Consider the following 25425-nt stretch of genomic DNA (forward strand, 5'->3'; position numbering starts at 1 on the left):
CGCGCACATCCCCGGCTTCCCCGGGCTCCGCGCCTTCCCAAGAGCCCCGTTGTCTCCGGCGTCCCAGGGATCGCGTGGGCTCCGCGCAATCTCTCCCCCACTTTAACGGCGCGTTTTAGCCGCCCGGCCTAACGCCTCTCCCCGCTCCACCTCCGCCGCTGTGGTTCGCGACGCTGGGACGTAGACAAAAAGGGTCGGAGGAGATGGCTGCGGGGACTGACGCTGAGTAAAGGAGGAAAAGAAAAGGGAAGGAGAGGGACACTTCTTCCAAATAGAGAATTGTGAGGAGCCTGCGAAAATTGAGGATGGATTCCACTCCTAGGCCAGAGAGTGCCTGTTTTGTCGATTGAAACTATCCACGATATGCCCCAGGCTAGGTGAAAATAAGTCCAAGACTTTATATATATATATATTTAAGTATACACACACACATATTTTTTAAAATGCGTACTGAAATATATTTTGACAAAGGAGACTCGGGTCTCTAGTAAGACAATTAGTGAAATGATGGAAAACCAAGAACTCTTTGATTTTAAAATCAAATATTTTCTTTTAAAAAATATCCAGTGCAAATAACCTGATATTTCATTTGATGGTGTAAAAGGGGGCTTTTTCTGAGGGGATAGGGCGGGCTCTGACGCAATAATTTAAGAGGCTATAATTATATTTGAATCTTTCAACCTTAGGCATGTGCTTGAAGGAGCCTGCTAGTACATACATATAAGGAAACACGTTTCTACGTCATGCATAGCACCTAGTACGTTGGGAACAACACAAATCAAGTACAGTAGGATTTAAATGAGAAAGATGTGAAAGGTGGAAGAAATGCAAGTGTAGATTTCTTCCTTCTCATTATGGATGGACGCAGGGAATAATTTGGATTTAAGGTTATTAAAGTTCTAGACTTCTGAAGACCTGTTTTTTTCTAGACTATGATCACCCTCCCTCGTGTATATACATGTATACAATGAAATTTACTTGTGCCAGGTAGTCTTAAACATCTCTGGTAAAACTCGCTACATTATATTCTAACAGTGTTGTTAAAAGCGGAATCACCTATTGTTCAAAAATGGCTACAAGTAGAAAGCATTCCAGAAGCCAGCCTTGGTGATGTGTGTTGCTGCGGGGTAGTGAATTAACAAAGTATTTTGTGACAGAGTAACCTGTAAACTTTTCATGGTTTCCTCAAATTATTTTTTATTCTTGGCAATGTTTTCTATTGAGTCTCTTAATTACTTCATTTCAGCTAGTCTAATCCATAAATGTTTGGAATGAACAACAAAAATGAAATGCAAGCACAATTTATCTTTTCTGCATTTCAGTTGATAAAACTTCTAAATTTTTCTGACAATTCATTTTCTTTCTCTGACTCCTCTTTTTCTTTTTACATTTTTATGAAAGTAATATATTCACGTAGTTAAAAAAAATCAATAGTACTGGAAGGTCAATGAAAAGCAGCAGGCCCTTTTAACCATTCCTGACCATCTGTCCTGTGCTTAAAGAGTCAGTCTCTTAACTCTTCTAACTATTCCTTGTGGTAGTTACTTCCTTTTTCCAAAAATAGGCTTATATTTTTTTTTGTTTCAGCAATTTTAGATATTATCTAGTCATTTTACATTATGATAGCTCCATTCGTTTATTATTCATTCATTAATTTATTCAACAAATGTTTTTTCGGGTGAATAGAAATTTTCATTTCACCTGAGTAAATACCTAGGAGTGAGATTGCTGGGCCATTTAGTCAGTGCATGTTTAAATTTGCAAGAAATTGACATACTAATTTGCAAAGGGTCTGTGCCATTTCACATTCTCAACAGTGATGTATGAGTTCTAGTTGCCCCGCATCCTCGCCAGGTATTGTCAGTTTTACCAATTTTGGCCAAATAGAGGTGTGCTGATATTGCATTGTGTTCTTCATTTTCTATATCTCTAATTCTTATGGGCAGGTCTTTGTTCTTAGAGCTCCCAAGATGGTGGCCACCGCTCCCAGGATGGCAGCAAGCCTTTTGTTCTCTGAACTGGGGTTCTTGGCCTCATGGATTCCAAGGAATGGAACCTTGGACCATGCGGTGAGTGTTATAGCTCTATTAGAAGCCGTGGGTCACAGAAGAGAACCGTGGAACCCAGCTACTAGTGTTCAGCTCAAATAGGACGAACCCGGGCACTTAGCCATGCAGGAACAATGGCAAGCCTTTAGCCGGATCGGGAGTGGCAATGGGTGCCTCGCTGGATCAGCAAAGCAGCGGACACCCTGCCGGATCTGGAGGGGTGGAAGTCGGTGGCGGGTCTGTGACAGTGGCAAACAGCAGTGGTGAAAAGCGAGCGAAAGCTCAGCTCGAGCCATAACAAACACAGACCAGAAGAGTGTGCAGTTGCTAGATTTAATAGAGTGAAAACACAGCTCCCATACAATGCGACGGCACGCAAAGAGGGTTGCCACTCCCTGCTTTAATGCCTGGGTTTATATCCGGATCATTGTCCCTCCCCCATGCTCTCAGGCGATATATTATTTGACTATTTCTTTACCTCCTGCTTTAGCCTAATTTGTATTTTAGTGAGCCCTCTTTACTGCCTGATTGGTTGGGTGTGAGCTGAGTTACAAGCCCCGTGTTTAAAAGTAGTTGCAGTCACCTTTCCCAGCTAGGGCTTAGGAATTCTTAGTCGGCCTAGGAAATCCAGCTTGTCCTGTCTCTCATAATGACTAATGATGTTGAGCATATTTTTATGTGATTAGTTATTTGTAAATAATTTTTGGTGAAATATCCAAGTATTTTGTCCTTTTAAAAACTTAATTATCTGTTCTTATTGTTGAGTTTTAAGAGTTTATTATATATTCTAGAAACAAGTCAGATGTGTGATTTGTATATATTTCCTCCCAGTCTGTGACTGGTCTTTTGTTTGTTTTTTTGGACAAAGGTCTTGCTGTGTCACTGAGGCTGGAGTGCAGTGGAGCCATTGGCTCACTGCAGCTTTCAACACCTGAGCTCAGGCAAGCCTACTGCCTACGCCTACTGAGTGGCAGGGACTACAGGCGTGCACCACCACACTTGGCTGATTTTTTATTTTTTTGTAGAGATGTGGTCTTGTTATGTTGCACAGGCTGGGCTTGAACTACTAGGCTTAAGTGATCTTCCTGCCTCAGCCTCCTGAAGTGTTGAGATTATAGGCATGAGCTACTGTACCTACCCTCTTTTCAACTTTTTAGATTCAGGGGTTACATGTGCAGGTTACCTGGGTATATTGTGTGATGCTGAGGTTTCTGGTACAAATGTTATTGTCACCTAGGTACTGAGCATAGTATCCAACAGTTTCAACCCTTTTTCTCCTCCATCCTCCCTCTAGTTATCCCCAGTGTCTATTGTTGCCATCTTTATGCCCATCTGACTCCACCTCTTGACCTTCAAAGACCTCAAGGAACTTTCTTAATATACTGATATTGACACATTTTTATTGTTTCTTCTCTCAACTTCCTCCCTTCCCTCACACTCAGGATTTCATTGATTGTCTGTATGTGGATGCCACCCACATTCCCTTAGTTTTACATGCAGACTGCAATCTCCAACACCTTTTGGCACCTCCGATGCAGTATGTGTGAAACTCCTTTCAAGAATGCTCTTCCAAACTCCTAAAGGTTCTATTTCTGCAATGAGGCACCCAGGCTCAAAAACCTCATCCACTGCTGCCTACTCCTTCCTTGCATCATTATCCAGACCCCATTCAACCAATTGCCAAGTTTTGTATCTCCTTATCATTTTCTCTACTTTGTATTCTTATTGCTATTCCACTATTCAAACCTCTATTTGATTTTGGCTGGATTATGGCACTGGCCTCTGAAATGGATTCCTTGGTTCCAGCTTTCTCCCATATGTATCCTTTATTCACAATTGCTTGATTTCTTAGCCTAAAGCACAGAACTGATGATGTTGTTTCCTGGTCACATTCTTCCAATAACTCTAACTTTCCTATACAATAGGTCTTATCAGGCTGGCATTAATTTTTTTTTCATATTTTGGCTGTAAACTACCTTTCTTGATATTTCGCCTTTTATTATTTTTCTTTATGAATATATCTTTCAGCCAAATTGAATGTGCTTACCAAATCCATTCTTTTGCTTAAGCTTTTCCTTCTGCTTAAATCCTAGCCAGCCATTTCAACATGTCCCAATCTTATTTTAAGATCCAGCTTTTACTTTCCTGTCAAATGTGCCATTTCTCCTCCTCCTGAACAATGGAACAATCACTATCTTCCTTAAGGCACTTACCATTTCTCAGCATGTATTGCAATTACTTACGTGGATCACTTTGACAGTGAGAACCTTTAAGACAGGCTCCTCTTAAATTTTATTTTTATATCACCATCAGGGCCTAGCACACAGTATTTTGTGCAGGTTAGGCACAAATAGAAATATTTCTTAAGTGCATGCATAAATGAAATTAGTAAAAGCATATTGGCTAGAGTTCCTCAATACTAGAGTTATTGGCTAGTAAAAGCATTCGTCTAGTTCCTCATTCCTCTTTAAGGATCCTAGGGTTGTGATTTCAAATCCAGAAAAGACTTTTTTCAGGTTCTTTGCAAAGGACATCTGAATTCTTCCCAACAGTGTTGCATATTGTAACCTAAATGTAGTCATTAAAAAAAGTTGACATTATAGACTTTATTAACATAAGTAGAATACCTAGATCCAGAGAGGTAGCTCTACTGTACTCTGAATTGTCCAGGGCAATCAATGACTGTCACATTTTCAGACAGGCATTGACATGGTGGTAGATATAAAGAGAAGGGAACTATCCAACATATTTTAAAAAGCATGTACTATATGCCAGGCACTGCTAACAAAACTAAGCCACTGCCCTCAGAGGGCTTACATTTTAATGGGGTTGGGTTGGTAGGAGGAGCACACCAACAAATATTGTATACAGCATACATGGAGAAATGGACATACAAATACTTGATAAAATACACAATGGAGAAAAATAAAACAGGGGAAGTTGGGTAAGTAGAGTGGCGAGTTGCTGTTTCAGAGGGAGTTCAGGGGAACATTTCCTTGAGGTGGTATTTGAGCGAGGACTGAAGGATATTAGCAAGACATTTGTCTAGGGCAAGTTTCCAGGTGGAAGAACCAGTAAGTGCAACAGCCCTGGGATTGCAGAAAGCTTAGTGTTTGAGTAACAGCATTTGGGTGGCAGAGTGTGGGGAAGTGATGACCACATATCACATAGGCCAAGGTAAAGACTTCAGCTTTTACACCAATATAGAAAGCCACTGGGGATTCTAGGCGAGGAGAGAGTACATACAGAGGAACCAACGAGTTAGTTGTTGCAATTTGAGTGAAAAAAAACTATGATGGTGGCTCTGTCCACAGTGGTAGCAGATAAGAAATGGCTGGACTCTGAACATGTTTTGCAGGTAAATCAGTCAGGCTTTTAAATTTTTATGGATACATAAATGTACATATATATGGGGTACATGTGAAATTTTGATACAAGCATACAATATGTAATGATCAAATAAAGGTAACTGAAATATCCATCACCTCAAGCATTTCTCATCCTTTGTGTTATGAACATTCCAACTCCACTTTTCTAGTTATTTTTTGAAGTATATATTATTAACTATAGTCACCCAATTGTGCTACCCAACACTAGATTTTTTTCCTTCTAACTGTGTATTTTTTTTACTCATTAACCAACCCTTTATCATTCCCCTTTTCCTACTACCCTTCCCAGCCTCTGGTAACCATCATCTACACTGTATTTCCATAAAAGCAACTTCATTTTAAGTTCTGTGATAGAAGTGCTGAACGTGCAGGTTTGTTAAATAGGTATACATGTGCCATAGTGGTTTGCTACACCTATCAACCCATCATCTAGGTTTTAACCTCCACACGCATTAGGTATTTGTCCTAATGCTCTCCCTCCCCTTGCCCCCAACCCACCCACAGGCCCCGGTGTGTGATGTTCCCCTCCCTGTGTCCATGTGTTCTTATTGTTCACCTCCCACTTATGAGTGAGAACATGACGTGTTTGGCTTTCCATTACAGTGTTAGTTTGCTGAGGATGATGGTTTCCAGCTTCATCCATGTCCCTGCAAAGGACATAAACTTATTCTTTTTTATGGCTGCATAGTATTCCATGGTGTATATGTGCCACATTTTCTTTATTCAGTCTATCATTGATGGAAATTTGGGTTGGTTCCAAGTCTTTGGTATTGTGAACAGTGCTGCAATAAACATAAGTGTGCGTGTATCTTTATAGCAGAATGATTTATAATCCTTTGGGTATATACCTAGTAATTGGATTGCTGGGTCAAATGGTATTTCTGGTTCTAGATCCTTGAGGAATCACCGCACTGTCTTCCACAATGGTTGAACTAATTTACACTCCTACCAACAGTGTAAAAGTGTTCCTATTTCTCCGCATCCTCACCAGCATCTGTTGTTTCCAGGTTTTTTTAATGATTGCCATTCTAACTGGTGTGAGATGCTAGCTCATTGTGGTTTTGATTTGCATTTCTCCAATTGATCAGTGATGATCAGCTCTTTTTCATGTTTCCTGGCTGCATACATATCTTCTTTTGAGAAGTGTCTGTTCATATCCTTTGCCCACTTTTTGATGGGGTTGATTTTTCTTGTAAATTTGTTTAAGTTCCTTGTAGATTCTGGATATTGGACCTTTATCAAATGGATAGATTGGAAAAATTTTCTCCCATTCTGTAGGCTGCCTGTTCACTCTGATGACAGTTTCTTTTGCTGAGCAGAAGCTCTTTAATTTAATTAGATCCCATTTGTCAATTCTGGATTTTGTTGCAATTGCTTTTGGTGTTTTAGTCATGAAGTCTTTGCCCATGCTTATGTCCTGAATGGTATTGCCTAGGTTTTTTCAAGGGTTTTTATAGTTTTAGGTTCTACATTTTAGTCTTTAGTCCACCTTAATTTTTGTATAAGGTGTAAGGAAGGGGTCCAGTTTCTGTTTTCTAAATATGGCGAGCCAGTTTTCCCAGTACCATTACCATTTATTAAATAGGGAGTCCTTTCCCCATTGCTTCCTTTTGTCAGGTTTGTTGAAGATCAGATGGTTGTAGATGTGTGGTGTTATTTCTGAGGCCTCTGTTCTGTTTCACTGGTGTATATATCTGTTTTGGTACTAGTACCATGCTGTTTTGGGTACTGTAGCTTTTGTAGTATAGTTTGATATCAGGTAGTGTGATGCCTCCAGCTTTGTTCTTTTTGCTTAGGATTGTCTTGGCTATACGGGCTCTTTTTTGGGTCCATATGACATTTAAAGTAGTTTTTTTCTAGTTATGTGAAGAAAGTCAATGGCGGCTTGATGGGAATAGCATTGAATCTATAAATTACTTGGGGCAATATGGCCATTTTCATGATATGGATTCTTCCTATCCATGAGCATGGAATTTTTTTCAATTTGTTTGTGTTCTCTCTTATCTCCTTGAGCAGGGGGCCTTGAAGGCCCTTCATGTCCCTTGTAAGGTGTATTCCTAGGTATTTTCTTTTTTTTTTGAGACGGAGTCTCACTCTGTCGCCCAGGCTGGAGTGCAGTGGTACGATCTGAGCTCACACTGCAAGCTCTGCCTCCTGGGTTCACACCATTCTCCTGCCTCAGCCTCCCGAGTAGCTGGGACTACAGGTGCCCACCACCACACCCAGCTAATTTTTTTTATTTTTTTATTTTTAGTAGAGATGGGGTTTCACCATGTTAGCCAGGATGGTTTCGATCTCCTGACCTCGTGATCTGCCCACCTCGGCCTCCCAAAGTGTTGGGATTACAGGCAAGAGCCACCGTGCCCAGCCAGGTATTTTCTTTGTAGCAATTGTGAATGGGAGTTCACTCATGATTTGGCTGCTTGTCTTTATTGGTGTATAGGAATGCTTGTGATTTTTGCACATTGATTTCCAGTCCTGAATATCCTTGTTAATTTTCTGTCTTGTTGATCTAATATTGACAGTGGTGTGTTAAAATCTCCCATTATTATTGTGTGGGAGTCTAAGTCACTTTGTATGTCTCTAAGAACTTGTTTTATGAATCTGGGTGCATCTGTATTGGGTGCATATATATTTAGGATAGTTAGCTCTTCTTGTTGCATTGATCCCTTTACCACGATATAATGCCCTTGTCTTTTTTGAACTTTGTTGGTTTAAAGTCTGTTGTATCAGAGACTAGGATTGCAATCCCTGCTTTTTTGTTGTTGTTGTTGTTTTCCATTTGCCTGGTAAATATTCCTCCATCTCATTATTTTGAGCCTGTGTGTGTCTTTGCATGGGAGATGGGTCTCCTGAATACAGCACACTGATGGGTCTTGACTCTTTATCCAATTTGCCAGTGTATGTCTTTTAATTGGGGCATTTAGCCCATTTACATTTAAGGTTAATATTGTTACGTGTGAATTTGATCCTGTCATCATGATGCTAGCTGGTTATTTTGCACATTAGTTGATGCAATTTCTTCATAGTGTCATTGGTCTTTATATTTTGATATGTTTTTGCAGTGGCTGGTACTGGTTTTTCCTTTCCATATTTTGTGCTTCCTTCAGGAGCTCTTGTAAGGCAGGCCTGGTGGTGACAAAAATCCCTCAGCATTTGCTTGTCTGTAAAGGATTTTATTTATCCTTTACTTGTGAAAGTTAGTTTGGCTGTATATGAAACTCTGGGTTGAAAATTCTTTAACAGTGTTGAATATTGGCTTCCACTCTCTTCGGGCTTATAGGGTTTCTGCAGAGATCCACTGTTAGTCTGATGGCTTCCCTTTGTAGGTTACCTGACCTTTCTCTCTGTTGCCCTTAACATTTTTCTTTCATTTCAACTTTGGAGACTGTGGCAATTATGTGTCTTGGGGTTGCTCTTCTCAAAGAGTATCTTTGTGGTGGTCTCTGTACTTCCTGAATTTGAATGTTGGCCTGTCTTGCTACGTTGGGGAAGTTCTCCTCGATAATATCCTGAAGAGTGTTTTCCAACTTGGTTACATTCTCCCCATCACTTTCAGGGACCCCAGTCAATCGTAGGTTTGGTCTTTCCACATAGTCCCATATTTCTTGGAGGCTTTGTTCATTCCGTTTCAATCTTTTTTCTCAATCTTTCCTTCACGCCTCATTTCAGTAAGTTGATCTTCAATCTCTGATATCCTTTCTTCCACTGATCAATTCGGCTATCGATGTGTGAAAAGAACTCCTGCAGCTAGCTCGGTGTCTGCCTGAACAGCTGCCCAGTTTTGTTTTTGAAACCCAGAGCCCTGGGGGTGTAGGCACATGAGGGAATCTCTTGGTCTGTGGATTTCTAAAACCAGGGGAAAAGTGTGGTATCTGGGCCAGATAACACAGTCCCTCACAGCCTCCTTTGGCTGGGAAAAGTAGGCTCCCCTGCTCCTTCCACTTCCTGCATGAGGCGACACCCCACTCTGCTTCTGCTCACCCTCTTTGGCCTTACCCACTGCCTACCCAGTCCCAATGAGATGAACAGGATACCTCAGTTGGAAATGCAGAAATTACCCACTTCTGCATTCATCTCACTTGGAGCTGCAGACTGGAGCTGTTCCTATTTGGCCATCTTGCCAGCCAATCCTAAAAGCATTTTTTTTTTAGGCTCCCACATATGAGAGTATGTGCTATTTGTTTTTCTGTGCCTGGCTTCTTTCACTTAACATCACAATATCCTCCAGTTCCATGTTGCAAATAACAGGATTTCATTCTTTTTTAGGGCTCAAGATGACATCATGTACACTTTCTTTATCCATTGATCCATGCATGGACTCTCAGGTTGATTATGTATCTTGGCTATTGTGCATACTGCTGCAATGCAGGTATCTCGATATACAGATCTTCTTACCTTTGGGTTTACAACCAGCAGTGAGAATGCTGGATTACACAGTAGTTCTTTTCTTCATTTTTTGAGGAAACTTCATACTCTTCTCCTTAGTAGCTTTAGTTATCTACACTCCCACCAACAGTGTACAAGTATTCTTTCTCCACATCCTCACCAGCATCCATTATTGCCTGTCTTTTGGATAAGTCATTTAAACTGGGGTGTGATAGCTCATTTAGTTTTGATTTGCATTTCCCTGGTGATTAGTGATGTTGAGCATTTTTTCATATACCTGTTGCCCGTTTTGATATCTTCTAAGAAACACCTATTCAGATCTTTTGCCTATTTTTAATTTTTTTTTGCTATTAAGCTCTTTATATATTCGTTTTTAATTCCTTGTCAGATGAGTAGTTTGCAAATATTTTTGCCCATTCTGTAGCATATTTCTTCACTTTGTTTCCTCTGCTGTGCAGCTTTTTAGCTTGATGTCATCTCATTTGCTCATTTTCACATTGGTTGTGTTTTTGAGGTCTTACAAGAAATCTTTGCCCAGCTTAAACTTTTGGTTTCCCCAATTTTCTCTTCATAATTTCAAGTCTTACATTTAAGTCTTTAATCTATTCTGATTTTTGTATATGGTGAGAGAGGGGTCTAATTTCATTCTTCTGCATTTGGATACTCAGTTCTGCCTGCACCATTTATTATAGAAGAGATTGTCCTTTCCCCAATGTATGTTCTTAGTGTCTTTGTCAAAAGAGTTGACTGTAAGTAAATACATGGATTTACTTCTGGGTTCTCTATTCTGTTCCCTTGGTCTGTGTCTTGTTTTTATGCTTCTATCATGCTGTTTTTGTTACTATAGCTTTGTAGTACATAATTTGAGGCCCAGTAATGTGATGCCTCTGGCTTTGCTATTTTTGCTCAGGATGGCTTTGGCTGTTCTGGGTCTTTTGTGGTTCCATACAAATTTTAGATTTTTTTTTCTCTATGTCAGTGAAGAATGTCACTGGTATTTTGGTAGCAATTGCATTGAATCTGTAGATTGCTTTGGGTAGTAAAGCTGATGGATTGAAACTGGGTTGGAAGAGAGTCAAGATTCTAAGCAACTATAGGGATGGATTTATCATTCTTAAGACAAGACTTGGGAAAAGTGGGGCAGGAAAGGGGGAAAGGTATGTTTTGTAGATGTAGATAAAAGAACTGGGAACAAATACTTGGAGGAAGCAAGGAGGCAGATTTTGCCATGTTGTAAGAAAGGCAGTTATGAAACAAATAGAGCCATCTCAAAATGGACAGGACATCCTTTTTGTCTATCACTAGAAGTAATCAACCTAGATTCATGTGTATCAGCTATGACAGAAGGAACTATGGGAATTGATTTATAAGGATTCCTCTAAAGATTTTACTCACGTTTTATCTTTCATTAATATTAAATACGAAAACATGGGTATAGTAGCTAGTATCAGGTATCAAATTACTTTCCATTATTTCTAAAAATTCTATTTTAAAAACTTCCGAGATTTAAATTCAAATCTGAAAATCTGTCCTACCCCCTTGAGTCAACATGAAAGTGACTCCAAGAACAGGGACTTTATTAGTCTCTTATGAGCTTTATTAGTGTTATTCCAATATTTAGGACATAGTAGGCACTCAATATGTGAATGACAGGTTATACGAACAAACTGAAGTTTATACTTACGTTTCAAGGTTTTTGATATTGCCAAATGGCCCCCTAAAAGTGATATACCAACTCATATTCTATTCACCAAAATATGACAGGATTTCCCCACAACTCTGCTAATAGCAAGATGTACATTATTTTTATTGTCAGTCAGCATTGTTTTTATTTGTATTTTTTGTAACCAATGGGGTTCAAGGTGTTTCATGTTTTGTTGGCCATTTGTATCTTTTTGTGAATCGAAATTTGGTATGTTTTGCCTATTTTTCAGTTGGTCTTTTCTTACCAATTGAAACAAATTCTTCATATACTTAAGACATTAAAAACACTGTCATATGTTGCAAATATTTTCCATTACCTTCTGCTGTACAAAAACTTAAACTATACAAAATTTCCTTTGTTTTTAGCTGTCATACTTTGCTAATCACAATTTCATTCACTCGATGTGTTACATTACTAATTATTTACATATAAGGAAATGTACTAAGTATTATGTGTGTGTGGGTACCAGATAAAAACCAGAATAACTGGACACATGGCTCTGAGGCAGTATGCAATAAGTGATTTAATAGTGGTAGTTTGCTCTAAGTGTTTTTATGAGAGAAAGGGTATCTTCTCCTTGAATGATTCAGATAGCCTTTAAAAAGTTAAAATCTGAATCAGGCCTTGAAGAAGAGTTAGGATTTGAAAGGGTGAAGGTGTAAGTAAACTGCACGAGCAGAAGTAGATAACAGAAAACACAAGGCATCTTCAAAGAATGGTGAATAATCCAGTTTGGGTTAAATAATGTAGGCAGAGTATTTATATAAATACGATTTGAACTGTATTCAAATAGTAGTATTTGCTGAACTGTTTTCTGAATAGTTTTCATTACGTGGCCTGTAGCTGGCTTCCTTAGTGCCAAAAGTTTACTCAGCATATTATAATCCTTGGAAAATGAAGCAGAAACTGCATGAAAAGAGATTTTTATTTTCACACTCCTTCAACACCTAAGGCTTTCTCACTTTGTGTTACAACTAAATTGGTTGACTAATGTCATGTAATCTGAGAAATACACTGTACTTCGTTCTAGTAGATATTTAAGGTCCCTTTAGGACTGAAACTTACAGAAATCAGATTCCAGGAATTATCCAATCTCATTTTGATTTCGGATAAACATTAATTTGCCTTATTCCTTAAATATGGTGAATTCATTATGAAGTCTTTGGCATACTTTTAAAGATGGAAGTACAATATTGCAATATTATACATATACTTTGTGTGCCATGGGTCATCTATGCACAGTAAGATGAAGCATGATATTAATGACATCTATTTAGTCACAAAGAAAATTTAAAATATCACCTGAATGTTCAGTTTTTCCCCCAAGTTTAATCAGACTTGAGAGTTTAAATTAAAAATAAATTGTGTTGTAGGTTCTAGTCACCCAATAACTTATCGGATCCAGGCTTAATTATTGTTTAATGTTGCAAATTTAGCGCAGAATAATTCTTTGAGTAAAGATCAAGAAATAATTAAATATGATTTGAAAAAGTACAAAGTCCAGGCCCGGCACGGTGGCTCACACCTATAATCCCAGCACTTTGGGAGGCCAAGGCGGGTGGATCACCTGAGGTCAGTCAGGAGTTTGAGACCAGCCTGGCCAAAATGGTAAAACCCTGTCTCCACTAAAAATAACAAAAAATTAGGCGGGTGTGGTGGCAGGTGCCTGTAATCCCAGCTACTCAGGAGGCTGAGGCAGGAGAATCACTTGAACCCGGGAGGTAGAGGTTGCAATGAGCCAAGATTGTGCCATTACAGTCCAGCCTGGGCAACAAGACCGAAACGCTGTCTCTTTAAAAAAAAAAAAAAAAAAAAAAAGTGCAAAGTCCTATGTATTCTTCAGAGTTGTTAGGAAAGAAAACAAATAAGGTTAGCTACATATTTAGCTAACCTTAGATTTAATAAACTATTAAGTTATTTAGGTCAAAAAGAATAACTAAATGGATGCTACAAATTTCAACCAGTATTTTCGATTTTTTGAGGTCTATCATCTGAACCCTCAGTGGCAAACAATACGAAAATTCAACATATTTTTATTTGTTAAATATATGAATATAATTAAATATATTCCTTCAGTAAACTGAACTGGACAAAACTAGAGAACAGACCTTTTCCATACTCATTTAACTTTAAAATGATATTACTTTGAATTCTACTACATACCATCTTAGATCCTGTTTTGAAATTCCATTCACATTACATTCGATTTACTAGAATGCCTTTTTTTTTCTTTTTTGAGATGGGGTCTCACTCTGTTGCTCAGCAGGAATGCAGTGGTACAATCACGACTCACTATACCCTTGAACTTCTGGGCTCAGGGGATCCTCTTGCCTCTGCAGCCTAATAATTTTTTTTTAATTTTTATTTTTTTGTAGAGTTGGGGATCTTGCCTTGCTAACCAGGCTGGTCTCAAACTTGTGGCTTCACGCAATCCCCACACCTCAGCCTTCCAAAGTGCTGGGATTACAGGTGTAAGCCACCATGCCTGATCTGGAATGCTTTCTAAAAATATGGCATTATAAACATAATACTAAAGAGAAAAAAAGGTTAAATTTCACTTCAAGAAATTATCAGTCTAATAGCATCAGTAAAAATGGCACTTTTAGTCATGGCATAAAATATACAATAAGGCTATTTTTCAATTATTGTTTTCAAGTTGGAAAATGCATTATGAAACACTCAAAAAGATGCTACTGGGTTTACTCATCAAGTGCTTTTGACACCATATAAATGACAGAGTAACACCACAGTTATGTGATTGGGACTCAAGAATCCTTAAATGTTAGGACTGAAAACAGGTATATGACTTATTTGTCCAGAATTTATATTTTTCTGTATCCCAATAAAATAATTAAGCCATGTGTATTGTGTAAAATTACAGTCTTTCAGTCTGTCCTATGTGCTTGCTCTCCTGGCTAGATATTAGCTAAAAATTAGCAAAAACAGCCATTTCCCCTATTATTCCCCAGCAAAGATGTGAAACCAAAACGCCTAACCTTTTCTGCCTGGTGGACTGCCCTCTACTGGACTATTTGAGGTATTCAGCCAGCAGGTCAATGTGACTAAAAAGGTAAACATAGAGATAAATGTAAACATTAAAAAAAAAGGAACCCTTTAGTATATTAACTTTTACCATGAAAACAATTTCAGTCATTTTGAGAACTGACAATGAAGATGTTTATACAGTCTTAGTCTCCTTTTCAACCTTGGAGGCAGATCTGCAGCAATAATAGTAACAAGTAGGAGCAATGGGTGTACTATCATGACCATCTTTTATGATGACTGGTGCATTAATACAAATCACATTTTTCTGAGTCCATTCATGCTATGGATGTTTTCTTATGCATAAACATAGAGTAGACACATACTAAATAGATCACATCTGTTAAGTCTCTTGCCACAAGCATCAAAACTTTTCAGAGCTGTCTCTTCCGTGAAAATCCATTTCATGTAGTAGCAAGTTGATTTTCTTTGTGGTTCATCCCCACGCCTGAGACTTGCAGTAATGTAAAACCAGTTTACCATCACTGCCAAAACACTACAAAAAAAAAAGGCAATAAATCAAACTCAATCTTTTATTATTCTTAGATGAAACTAAGAAGATAAATGCCACATGTATCATAAATATCCACACACGTATATTAAGTTACCTATGTTACAGGCTATCTCTTTCAAAGGATGCCTGTTTCTATCAGACACATATTAATAATCCTAAGTGTTTAATAAAATCTGTCCTTTAAGCATCTTAGGCATGAATGAGCTTATGTATTTTAATCTTGTCCTTTCTCTACATGTCCAACCACAATATATGTAATTTTAGCTGTTTTCTAGTAGTGGTGCTAGTATGTGTACTCTAATAACTATTACAATGACTCTGTAAGATGTTAAACAGTCATTCTTATGCTGTTTTCTCAATTTCTTGTAGGCAGATTTGGATAACAGATTATAAGAACAATGTAGAAGAAATCAAATGTAGATAAAGAAAAAGCCTTACTTTATGAGAATCATGAAGATGACTTTGAAATGTAATTTATTCCTTGGTTCTTCAATCATTGTATAATTTATTAATATCTTTCTATGATCAAGATGTTAGATAACAGAACAAGAAAGTCATCTTTTCTACCCCAGAAAATTAAGAATGGCATGCCATCTCTTGAAATAAAAATGTGAATTAACAATACTACACAATATACATATTATACAGATGTGCATACTCGATTAAGAAAAAAAAGCAGTAATTTCTTTCTTTTTTTTTTTTTTTTTTTTTTTTTTTTACCTCATAGAGAGTTCCAACTTCTTGGTCTGGGGAAGGAGCAAAGGACTGATTCACATAAATAAACTACAAGAAAGGAAGGAAAAACAGAGATGTTTAATGGTATCCTGATTAATCTGCATTTTTCTGCATTCCAATCAGCTAGCTATTTTGTATTGTTTTCACAATTGAAGAAAGCTTCTCTGAACTCCTAACTTTTCTAAATAGTCAATTTAAAGAGATCATTACGAAGATCTCATTTTTCCTCCAGAGGAATAAAAATAACACAATTCCAGTTCCTAGAACAGTGGTTCCTAACTTTGTATAACTAAGAAACTTTTAAATATTTTTTACAAATAGCTTTTGAAGAGCTGGCTATTCAAGAAATTACATTATCGTAAAAATGTCCCCACTTACCCACAAAGAATTTCTCCTAAGATAATTACACAGGCACACAGCCAAAAATCAATATGTCTAATATTCAAGGTAGTTTGTACACTTTCCTTGGGTAAATGTATGACATATATACTTAGGTTTTTTAATAAAGTCACTTACAGGCAAATGAAGCAGGAAAAAAAGTAACAATTAAAACCTTATAACCTTGCTCTTTAAAGGATTCACTGCTCAATGTTTCAGTTTAGTCTGTTTTTACTAAAATATTTCTAGTACTTAAAGTCACAGTGTTGAAGTGCCCTTTAATAATTTTCTTTTTGGAAAACAAAACTTTATTTGCAGGTAACATATTTAGTTTTCCTTTAATATCCAAATTTGGGACTAAAATGTCCTGGATTAAACTTAGTATTTAAAAAAAAAAGTATCAGAATAGTTGGTTGACAGATACTATTTTGATCACCAACCATGAACCATCAATATTGCTTGCATCTCTCTTAGCCAATATAGTGTGGTGATTAAGTGTATAGGCTCTGAGACACACCTGGGTTTGAATCCTGGCTTTACAAATAATCTCTCATCCTCTTTATTTGTAAGATATGGAAAATAATAGGACCTATACCTCTTGGGTCTGTTAGGAAAGACAAAATGAGATAATACACTAACTTTCAGTGCCTGGTATATGTACTCAATAGACGTTATTGTTAAATTATCTTTAAATAGTTCATGCTGAAATATCAATTTGTGGTTATGGCTGAGTAGAGTTCTGGCACAAAAATTTCAGAACTGTAACAGAAAACAATGTGCATTATAATGTGAATTTTTTGTAATACAGATATAATTTGTGTTCAGTGCCTGACAATTTATGAGCAAATCCAGATTTTACTCTTGTACATTATAAATGAGGGGAAGGGCTCTCAATAACAGCTTAGTTTATCAGTGTCTATGATGTGCTGAGAATTGTACATGGAACTATGAAGATTAATGTGATCTCTTCCCTCAATGAGCTTATAATCTGTAGGAGAGGCAGAGACACACATGAATAAATACGGGTGAGAAAAGTACATCTAATGAAGTATGTAGCGTACAGAAATGTACACTACTCTAGCCTAGCAAAAGGGTCAGTGATGGCTTTGTGGGAAATAAGAAATAAGCAGGATTTAACCAGGTGAAGAAAGCAGTAATCAGGACTTCACAGGCAAAGGAGACAAAGAGTAAGATGGTGTTGTGTTCACAGAAAACAGCAGACTCGATGGAGCAGAGAACCAACCAAAGGCATTCAATGTGATTTTGTAACAGGTGTTAACTGGAAATTTTAAAAAAGCAATTCAGTTAGTTCAAAAGACAGAAAGACATAAATCTGTTTGCATACTATAAAGCTCTATATAAGTAACAGGTTAACATCATCAATTCCACTGCAGAATCGCTAAGTGGCGTATAATTTGTTACTTTAAAGTACATGTAGTTACTCCAGGTTTGTGAAAGTAAAATTCCATGGAAGTATTATTTCCAAACTGCAAGAACTTGGGCAGACAAAATTAGTTAGTTTTATTAATTACTTTGCCTTTAAATCAGCTTTTTTTTCTTTCTGCTTTTAAATCAGCAGTCTTTAAATTGATGTCTCTAGTTATTCTGGTTATAAAGCTCTCTGTCTAGTGGATTCCTCATGGTTCACTGGAATAGCATTTTCTGCTAATAGTCTGTGCCCCGATTAAGTCAGTTATGCAGGATATGAAAGCCTTATTTCACACTTTTTCCTTAAGCATCTTTGCTGTCAAAGTTTGACGACAGCCTAACTTTCTAAGTCATGCCCTCTTTCCCGTCCCCTACATTTCCAAATGATTTCAAGTCCAGTAATTTTAACAGAATGCATCCTGATGTTCATTATTCTGGGTTGATACTCTCAGGTACTTCAGATGTTTTTTCAATATGTAGTTTCAAATCTCTTACCTTAAATGACATTTTTACAGTATTTTTTCTGTTCCCTTGCTCTGGTTTTCTTCACAGACTCTTGTCCAAAGGTTGACTCACTTTTTAAATTTTTTTCATCTTCTATTTTTCTTAACATATTATCCGTTGTTTATGTTCCTCCTACTTTAGTCTCCATTTCTGAAATAATTTTCTTTTATTTCTAATTCTTTTCCTGAGCTTCATTTCTTAGTTTTACTAATGCTGATCGTTTTTCTTTCATGTCTTATACCATCTTATTGTTTTTAGCTCATTTTGAAATACAAGGTTACAATTTTCGACTTGTCTTATAGGTGTATATTTCTGGCTTGATTTCATCGTCTCTAGGGATGCTGTTCTTTTCCGCATCTCGTTTTTCTTGTAACACTGTACGGGATTTGACCTTGTTATTCCTGTTATTGTTTTTATGTGAAATTAGTTTTCCTCAACTTTTAGAATGAGGTGAATTAGGGTAGTTTTTCTAACTTCACAGAGCTCCCCTTGTTGTTTTTTGTATACTATTCAAAACGATGGAGGCCTGCTTTGAGCTTTCCAGGCTCTGTTCCCCACCATTTTGATCTGGTCTTTCTCTTTCCTTCCTTTCTCATGTCCCTACCCTTTTCAATTTTCATTTCACTTCCTGAAATTTCTCCTCAGTATGGGGTCCCAGAGCCCTCCTGGGTCCATTTTGAGATTGTTTGAGCCCTTCAAGTCCTTAGTGCAAATGTATTGTCATCACGTGCTACAGAAGAGGGCAAAACTCCTTAGTCAGCTTCTATTCTTAAATTGGCTCACTTTACTTCCCGGTCAGGATCTATTAGCGTTTTTGAGGTTCTACTTTTCTCAGTGCCGTCAGATGCCAACCCTGTTTCTTACTGCTTCTTTCAGCACAGATGCTGATACCATGCAGGTCCTGTGGTTGCTGGTGGTTTGTCCCCACCAACATGTGTTTTGGGGCTCATGGGGATACCTTATCACCTAGTTTTGTTACAAATACTAATCAGGGGTTTTTGGTTTTGCTATCTAGTTGACTAAGTTTTGTGAGAATTTCAGAGAGATTCACGTGTACCTTCTGATTCCACCATCTTCCCAGAATTCCTAGCATTACTTTTTTTCCTTTAACATCCATTTTGCTAGATAAAATTCAGGAGGTATCAGTTTTAGTTTAATCTAGGAAAATGACAAAATAATTCTTATGTTTCCTATTGCTTAAATGGGAAAGGATAATCATATTCACTACAGAGGATTTAATTTAACCCTTATGAAATTGTTTTCATAGGGTAAAATGGCTGAATGATGGCAATTTTATATGGTTCAACCTACTATGTATTGGTATCAATCAAGTCCTTTCAGGTTACTGAATGAATACAGGCAATACAAAATTTCAAGACTCTTAACACAGAACACAGTATCATTTCATTTTTCTTAAATCTCCATGTATTTCTAAACTAATGCATTAAATTACTCAGTACTCTTATTTTACCAACTCTTCATGTTGCATCTTTAGCAAAGATGCAGCCTCTGCTCATTTCTCTCAAGTGTATGTCCTCATTCCCCTGACTTTTCCATTTAGCTTCACTTTTGTGAGAGCACTTGCAGCCAAACTCTTAGATCAGAGTCAGTTTTTTGCTCCTCCCTGACAAAAAGAAATTCCAACATGTCCTGCTTTAATGATAGTTCACTTGTTTTACCCATGCACACGCCTGTGTTCAGAAGCAAATATTTCCCCCAGTGCCCCCAAAAATTCCTGATTTTATTTAAAAAATACTTAGCAATTCTTCAATTACCTATCCACTCATGCTATCTGAGTTAATACTATCCAAGATTGTGATCTATTTGCAGATAAAGGTGTCTCATACATATAATTATGTATATATAAAAAACACTTAATGTGCCAAATACATGTAGACATTTAAATTTCTGTAGTCAAATGCCAAATTAAAATGCAGTGGCATTTAAAGAATTAACCTTTACTACAACTGCCACTGTGAAGTGCTTAACGTGTACTGTTAACATGAAGTATTTCCTAGTTCTTTCACAATATATGGCAAAGATACATTGCTTACCTCAAGAAAAATAGGAAAAAAGTAACTGCTATCAAAACAAACTGAAAAAATCCAAAACTTCTGTAGTAATGTACAGATATTGCAATGCTCTATGATAGATTTTTATGCATGGGTATTCATGCATACTTTCATGTGACTTTCTGAGGAAAACAATACAGGAGGCAAAAAATAAATACATAAACTGGTTCACATTGTAAAACAAATCTAAAACATTTCATTTCAGAATTCCCCAGAGAATCCTTTGATAAAGTACATAAACTCCACTAACAAGAGATAAGGCAGGGCACAGTGGCACACTCATGTAATTCTAGCACTTCTGAGGCGGCCCCGTCTCTACTAAAAACACAAAAATTAGCCAGGCTTGGTGGTGCACTCCTGTAATAATCCTGGCTACTAGGGTGGCTGAGGCAGGAGAATCGCTTGAACCAGGAGGAGAAGGTTGCAGTGTGTCACTGCACTCCAGCCTGGGCAACAGAGCGAGACTGTCTCAAAAAAAAAAAATGAATAAATAAAAATAAAGGGATAAAAGGGCATAACAAAAGCGACATATGTGGCTCCATATGCATTTCTATAAACAACAGTTAATTCACTGTTGCCTAGGAACTACTGCAAATTTTTGTAGGAAAACATCACCATTGGTTTCATACCAACTGTTCTGAGGCCACAAGTTTAAGAAACTTTTTGATGAAGTCAATGAGTCCTTGGATGGTTCGTGTTCGCTCTACTGCCCACTTCTTTGTTTTCATAATAGGAGTGTCTCCCACAGCCTTTAGCAAAATGTCAACTGTAAAAGAAGAATAAAATTTACTGACAATTACACTGAAACATCTAAAGAGAATGGAATATAAAAGACTTAGAAATCAGAAATATTTAATCTACATCCATCTTACGTATTTATGATACTGAAGATATGTGAGAGATGTAAAAATGTTAGATTCTTTTCCATCATTTTTTTCTTGATCCTACAAAGTTCTCCCAACAGGACTAATTTTTAAAATGCCTTTTATCTTAACAGGCAGTTCCAAAGAGAGGAAATACAAATGATCAATACACAAACAATATTTAAGTTCACAAAAAGCAAAGTAAAATAATGTCATGTCCCTTTTCACCCACCAAACTAGTTAAAATTAGAGTAATTACCAGTGTAGATGATACTACTTTTGAGAATGTAAAATGGTATACCCTTTGTGGAATGCAGTATGGTAATACAGATCCTAATAAAGGTATACTTTGATTCAATAATACTTCTAGGAATCCAGTGTAAGAAAATATGAGATGTGTGAAAATTCACTTAAAAAGATTTCACCTCCATTTAAGCATTTATTTTTATATGAAACACTGGTAAACCTAAATACCCAAAAAGGATATTTGGAGGTGACTGATTAAATAGAATGTAGTAAACCGCATACACTTTTAACTGCCTGGGGTTCGAATCCTGGCTCTGCCACTTGCTGGGTATATATGTGGATATTTAATCTCTCCAACAGCATGTATAATATCTTAAATTCATTAAAAACCATCACAAACACATTCACATAAATATGGAAGAATATGCAACAAAATGATATTTCTCAGTAGTGACATTGTAGGCAATGATTACTTGGATTTACTTATGCTGTTTGTAACTACCAAATTTTCTGTAATAAACTTTTTAATAAAGGAAAGCAATAAGTTATTAACAATAGAACAACCAAAGCCAAAAAGAAGTTGCAGAAAGAGAAATCTTAAGGTTTCAACGATCCAAAACACAGATATGCAAACCCAAACCCTATGAATCTGTCTCTCAGACATAAAGTTATTTGCTAAAACAAAACAAACATACATCTGGCTGGGCGCGGTGGCTCACGCCAGTAATCTCCACACTTTGGGAGGCTGAGGCAGGAGGATCACTTGAGGTCAGGAGTTCAAGAGGGCCCAGTCCCCTTCCAACTTCTTGTTCACGACCAGCCTGGCCAACATGGTGAAACCCCATCTCTACTAAAAATACAAAAACTTAGCCAGGCGTGGTGGTGCATGCCCGTAATCTCAGCTACTTGGGAGGCTGAGACAGGGGAATAGCTTGAACCCGGGACGCGGAGGTTGCAGTGAACCGAGATTAAGCCACTGCACTCCAGCCTGGGTGACAGACTGAGACATCCTCTCAAAAAAAAAAAAAAAAAAATCTACAGTCAAAAAGCAAGACACATTGAAAGCAAAACAGTGTATTGCTGCCCCCTAAAGTTAACTCTATTCTATTACACCCTTCTTGCTCCATTCTTTAGGTATTAAATATTGGGGCCAAAAGATCAGAGGTCATTTTATTCAAGTTTACTCCTGGAATGAACGCATCTAGAACACATGATCTTTATCTTCCTACTAAAGAACTACTTAATTATCCTAGGTCCAGTTATCTTAGGAATAGGAATGAATTTGGAGATAACGTGGGATTTTAGTTAGCCTATCTTTCATACCTCCTTTCACTGCTCCCTCAAATCCCCTGGGGCTATCAATAAATCGATTAATTCAATTAAACATTTCCAGAAAGTGAAGCAGGAAATATCATGAGTTATGCTACCAAGGATGAAGTGTAAGACAGTGAGAAACCAGAGAAGGAAAATAATTTAATTATAGCTGCCCTCTCTTTTTAATTTTAAAGGTGATTTGCTTGTAGTTCTGAACCCGGATACACATTAGAATCAACTAGGGAAACACTTACTCCCCAGGAAACCTAACATACCTCCAGTGCCAAAACCTTGGTCTGTTTCAACAATCTTTCTTCTGTAGATTAACAAAGGCTGAGGATACAAAACAGTTAAGCTGCTTTCATCATATTATCCTCAACAAATAATGACAAGCACAAGGTAGGAATAGTTAGAAACTAAGTTTTATATTGGAGAGGCAAACTCAAATGCTAACAAGAGCCAGAAAATAAAAATCTCATCCTTAAATGACAGTTCAATTTGCAAAAAAATACTGTCCAGACCAAGAAAATATGCCCTCGGGCAATATTTAGATTGTAAGCCATTTTTTTTAGCTTTTGTTTTGCACAGCTATCATCAGAGTCAAGTAACAAGTTTTGACTAAGACTGTTAGACCTTAAAACGAATCTCCGAACGTCCGCTCTTGCCTATAGTAAATTGGAAGAAAAAATGCAACAAAACACTGTAAAACCTGCGGAATTCTTTTGAAGAAAGATTCCAGTGGCTATCCATGGAAATACTTATAGTGCATCAGGTGGAAATGGGAGTCTGATTTAAAGTGGGAAGGGGGGCAGTCTTGGGAGAGAATTATCCTCCACAGTAGCAGAAGTTGAAGAAAAAGCAATGAGACCAATGTCTTTTTTTTTTTTTTTTTTGAGGCGGAGTTTCGCTCTTGTTGTCCAGGCTGGAGTGCAATGGCGAGACCTCCGCCCACTGCCACCTCCGCCTCGCGGGTTCAAGCGATTCTCCTGCCTCAGCCTCCCGAGTAGCTGGGATTACAGGCGCGCGCCACCACACCCATCTAACTTTTATATTTTTAGTAGAGATGGAGTCTTACCATGTTGGCCAGGCTGGTCTCGAACTCTTGACCTCAGGTGATCCACCCGCCTCAGCCTACCAAAGTGCTGGGATTACAGGAGTGAGCCACCGCGCCCGGCCAGAGACCACTGTCATCTTAAGACAGAACGGGGAAAACGTCTAAGGACGAAATCAGCCTCTCTGAATCGAGGATGCTTATATGCTGCTTTTCCCATAGGCAACTCTAACTCTAAACAGAGTGCTTTAGAACACGTAATTTTAGCAATCTCTTTTACAAAGGGAAACATTCTCAAGCAATAAAGGGTTGAGGATAGCTGACTCAAGCAATGAAATAACTCACAAAGGTTCCAAAATGTGTTTCTTAAAAAGGTAACATCTATGCCTTTAGCTTTCCCTTAGCAGTCTTCATTCTGCATAAGAATTTGGTTTTTGGTTTAAGGAGTGAATTCACAACCAACTGGGAGGGGGAAAAAAGCAAAAGCGAGTTAAGTTGGAAGGCATGAATTCTAATCCAGGCTTTGCCAATGACCACCCCTACCACCATAAAACATTACTCAAATAATTAGCTCCTGTGTTAAGTACCTGGAATTACCGAGACCCCCCTCCCCCCGCCCCACTCAGCTCCCTCCCTCCTTCAAAGAGCTCGCAGTCTGGCCAACTCAAAAAAATACAGTATAAAAATAAGTGTGGCAGCCAAGTATCAGGCCCTACACCGATAGACAGAGATGGTATTTTAACACTCAACTTAAAGGCCTTAAAAATCAAAAAGTACACTTCTTTTCTTCTGATGACTGGTCAAAATGCAGGTCTAGGACAGGCGCTCCTCTAAATTTTGCTTCTTTACTGGCCGCCACCCCTACTCGGATGCAATCTGAACCTCCCGCCTCTCTGCCCGGAAATAAATTCAGTTACTTTTTTTCTTGGTGTCGCCAGCAGGTTCCTCTGTTCCCGGGGAAACTGCAGCGGAAGACGGGGGCTCCGGGGTGGTTGTTTCTGGGGAGACATCCGTAAGTCCTTCCCCTCCAGCAGCAATTGAAGTAGGAAGCTGCAACACAGACTGCGGCTCCTCCGCCATCTTGCTTGGAGACACTCGAGAGCGGAAGTAGCGACTGAGCGCGTGCAGTGGGCGTGCTTTTCTCCAGGGAGCGTCGCAAAGGAGGCGCCGGAGTAGGGGGACGCAATTACACAGTGAAACTTGGTGTTCCCGGCTAGTCATTCAAATCGAAGCTGTCGCAGACCTCTGAACGTTAGTAACGCAACATGTGTTTCTCCGCGACTACAGACCTCGGGAGAGGAGCGGTGGGCAACGTGTCTGTGCTCGGTCGAATGCGCACACTCCAGTTAGGCCGCTGGCTCGGACCTAGAAATGTTTCCGCTTTCCTTAGTGCCTGCCCCGCCCAGGCCCCGCCCCTTGGGCCCCGCCCGACGGCTCGGGAGCGCGCGCGGTCGCGTGCGGGAGGGGGCGGGTGGGGAAGGATCGCAGGCGAGATTACGAGGCGAGGCTCGCGCGCCCGCCCCCGCCCTGGCCCCCAGTGCCCACCCGGTCGGCCCGGCACAGCCATGATCAAGGCGATCCTAATCTTCAACAACCACGGGAAGCCGCGGCTCTCCAAGTTCTACCAGCCCTACGTGAGTATCCAGCCGCCGCTGATCCGGGCGAGGGGGAGTCGTTGGCGACGGGCAGCGCCCAGCGCGGCTTTCTCAGAGCGACCCCCTCCGGCGCGCTGCGGCCCTTGTCCCGT

The 25425-nt window shown here is 38.6% G+C and overlaps 2 protein-coding genes and 1 long non-coding RNA gene across 20 annotated transcripts in view, besides 5 other annotated features; 2 read left to right on the plus strand and 1 right to left on the minus strand.

Moving 5' to 3' along the window:
• Positions 1 to 293: 293 nt before the first annotated feature.
• Positions 294 to 16088, plus strand: LOC124901049 (uncharacterized). The gene is made up of 2 exons (XR_007058908.1): positions 294 to 377; positions 15457 to 16088. It is a non-coding gene; the product is annotated as an uncharacterized LOC124901049 (long non-coding RNA).
• Positions 11406 to 24771, minus strand: ATG12 (autophagy related 12). 5 transcript variants are annotated; one of them, NR_073603.2, is made up of 6 exons: positions 24596 to 24771; positions 24024 to 24140; positions 23703 to 23818; positions 20834 to 20970; positions 15808 to 15870; positions 11406 to 15069 (listed from the first exon to the last, which is right to left on the minus strand). NR_073603.2 is itself a non-coding variant. In NM_004707.4 (4 exons), exons 1-4 carry the CDS (start codon positions 24756 to 24758, stop codon positions 15010 to 15012), a joined length of 423 nt encoding a protein of 140 aa, NP_004698.3. In that variant the 5' UTR covers positions 24759 to 24771; the 3' UTR covers positions 11406 to 15009. The 5 variants fall into 5 exon arrangements, 2 of the variants coding, with proteins under 2 accessions (NP_004698.3, NP_001264712.1); NR_033363.2 differs by lacking the exon at positions 24024 to 24140; NR_033362.2 differs by lacking the exon at positions 23703 to 23818.
• Positions 23634 to 24134: an enhancer, noted in NCBI's record as "H3K4me1 hESC enhancer chr5:115176125-115176625 (GRCh37/hg19 assembly coordinates)". NCBI's record gives its function as "activates a minimal SCP1, AML or CMV promoter by ChIP-STARR-seq in naive H9 embryonic stem cells {active_cell/tissue: H9 hESC(naive)}" and the evidence as "EXISTENCE:reporter gene assay evidence [ECO:0000049][PMID:30033119]".
• Positions 24138 to 25039: an enhancer, noted in NCBI's record as "H3K27ac hESC enhancer chr5:115176629-115177530 (GRCh37/hg19 assembly coordinates)". NCBI's record gives its function as "activates a minimal SCP1, AML or CMV promoter by ChIP-STARR-seq in primed H9 embryonic stem cells {active_cell/tissue: H9 hESC(primed)}" and the evidence as "EXISTENCE:reporter gene assay evidence [ECO:0000049][PMID:30033119]".
• Positions 24428 to 24727: an enhancer, noted in NCBI's record as "active region_22937". NCBI's record gives its function as "activates an Ori minimal core promoter by ATAC-STARR-seq in GM12878 lymphoblastoid cells {active_cell/tissue: GM12878}" and the evidence as "EXISTENCE:reporter gene assay evidence [ECO:0000049][PMID:35858748]".
• Positions 24738 to 24787: an enhancer, noted in NCBI's record as "active region_22938". NCBI's record gives its function as "activates an Ori minimal core promoter by ATAC-STARR-seq in GM12878 lymphoblastoid cells {active_cell/tissue: GM12878}" and the evidence as "EXISTENCE:reporter gene assay evidence [ECO:0000049][PMID:35858748]".
• Positions 25018 to 25397: a silencer, noted in NCBI's record as "silent region_16255". NCBI's record gives its function as "represses an Ori minimal core promoter by ATAC-STARR-seq in GM12878 lymphoblastoid cells {active_cell/tissue: GM12878}" and the evidence as "EXISTENCE:reporter gene assay evidence [ECO:0000049][PMID:35858748]".
• AP3S1 (adaptor related protein complex 3 subunit sigma 1) overlaps positions 25141 to 25425 on the plus strand; it is a 72147-nt gene continuing 71862 nt past the window's right edge. For 8 of the 14 annotated variants that reach the window (NM_001002924.3, XM_047416696.1, NM_001318093.2 and 5 more), the window contains exon 1: positions 25141 to 25312. Coding sequence is in view for 9 of the 14 variants with exons in the window: in NM_001318093.2 (NP_001305022.1) it covers positions 25244 to 25312 (69 nt within the window). In the remaining 5 variants the exon portion in view is untranslated. The remainder of the gene's footprint in view (positions 25313 to 25425) is intronic. The other 6 variants (NR_157085.1, NR_157084.1, NR_157086.1 and 3 more) reach the window with 1 other exon arrangement.

Source organism: Homo sapiens, chromosome 5 (genome assembly GCF_000001405.40).
Source record: "Homo sapiens chromosome 5, GRCh38.p14 Primary Assembly".
Taxonomy (NCBI): Eukaryota; Metazoa; Chordata; class Mammalia; order Primates; family Hominidae; genus Homo; species Homo sapiens.

Bases quoted from the DNA above. Each gene is read 5' to 3' on its own strand.
- ATG12 (NM_004707.4), bottom strand. From the start codon at position 24,758: ATGGCGGAGGAGCCGCAGTCTGTGTTGCAGCTTCCTACTTCAATTGCT. The intron at 20,971-24,595 runs GTAACTGAATTT...CTTCTTTTACAG, and splicing joins TGGCGACACCAAGAAAAAAA to TTGACATTTTGCTAAAGGCT. The intron at 15,871-20,833 runs GTATGAAACCAA...CCTTTCTTGTAG, and splicing joins TTGTGGCCTCAGAACAGTTG to TTTATTTATGTGAATCAGTC.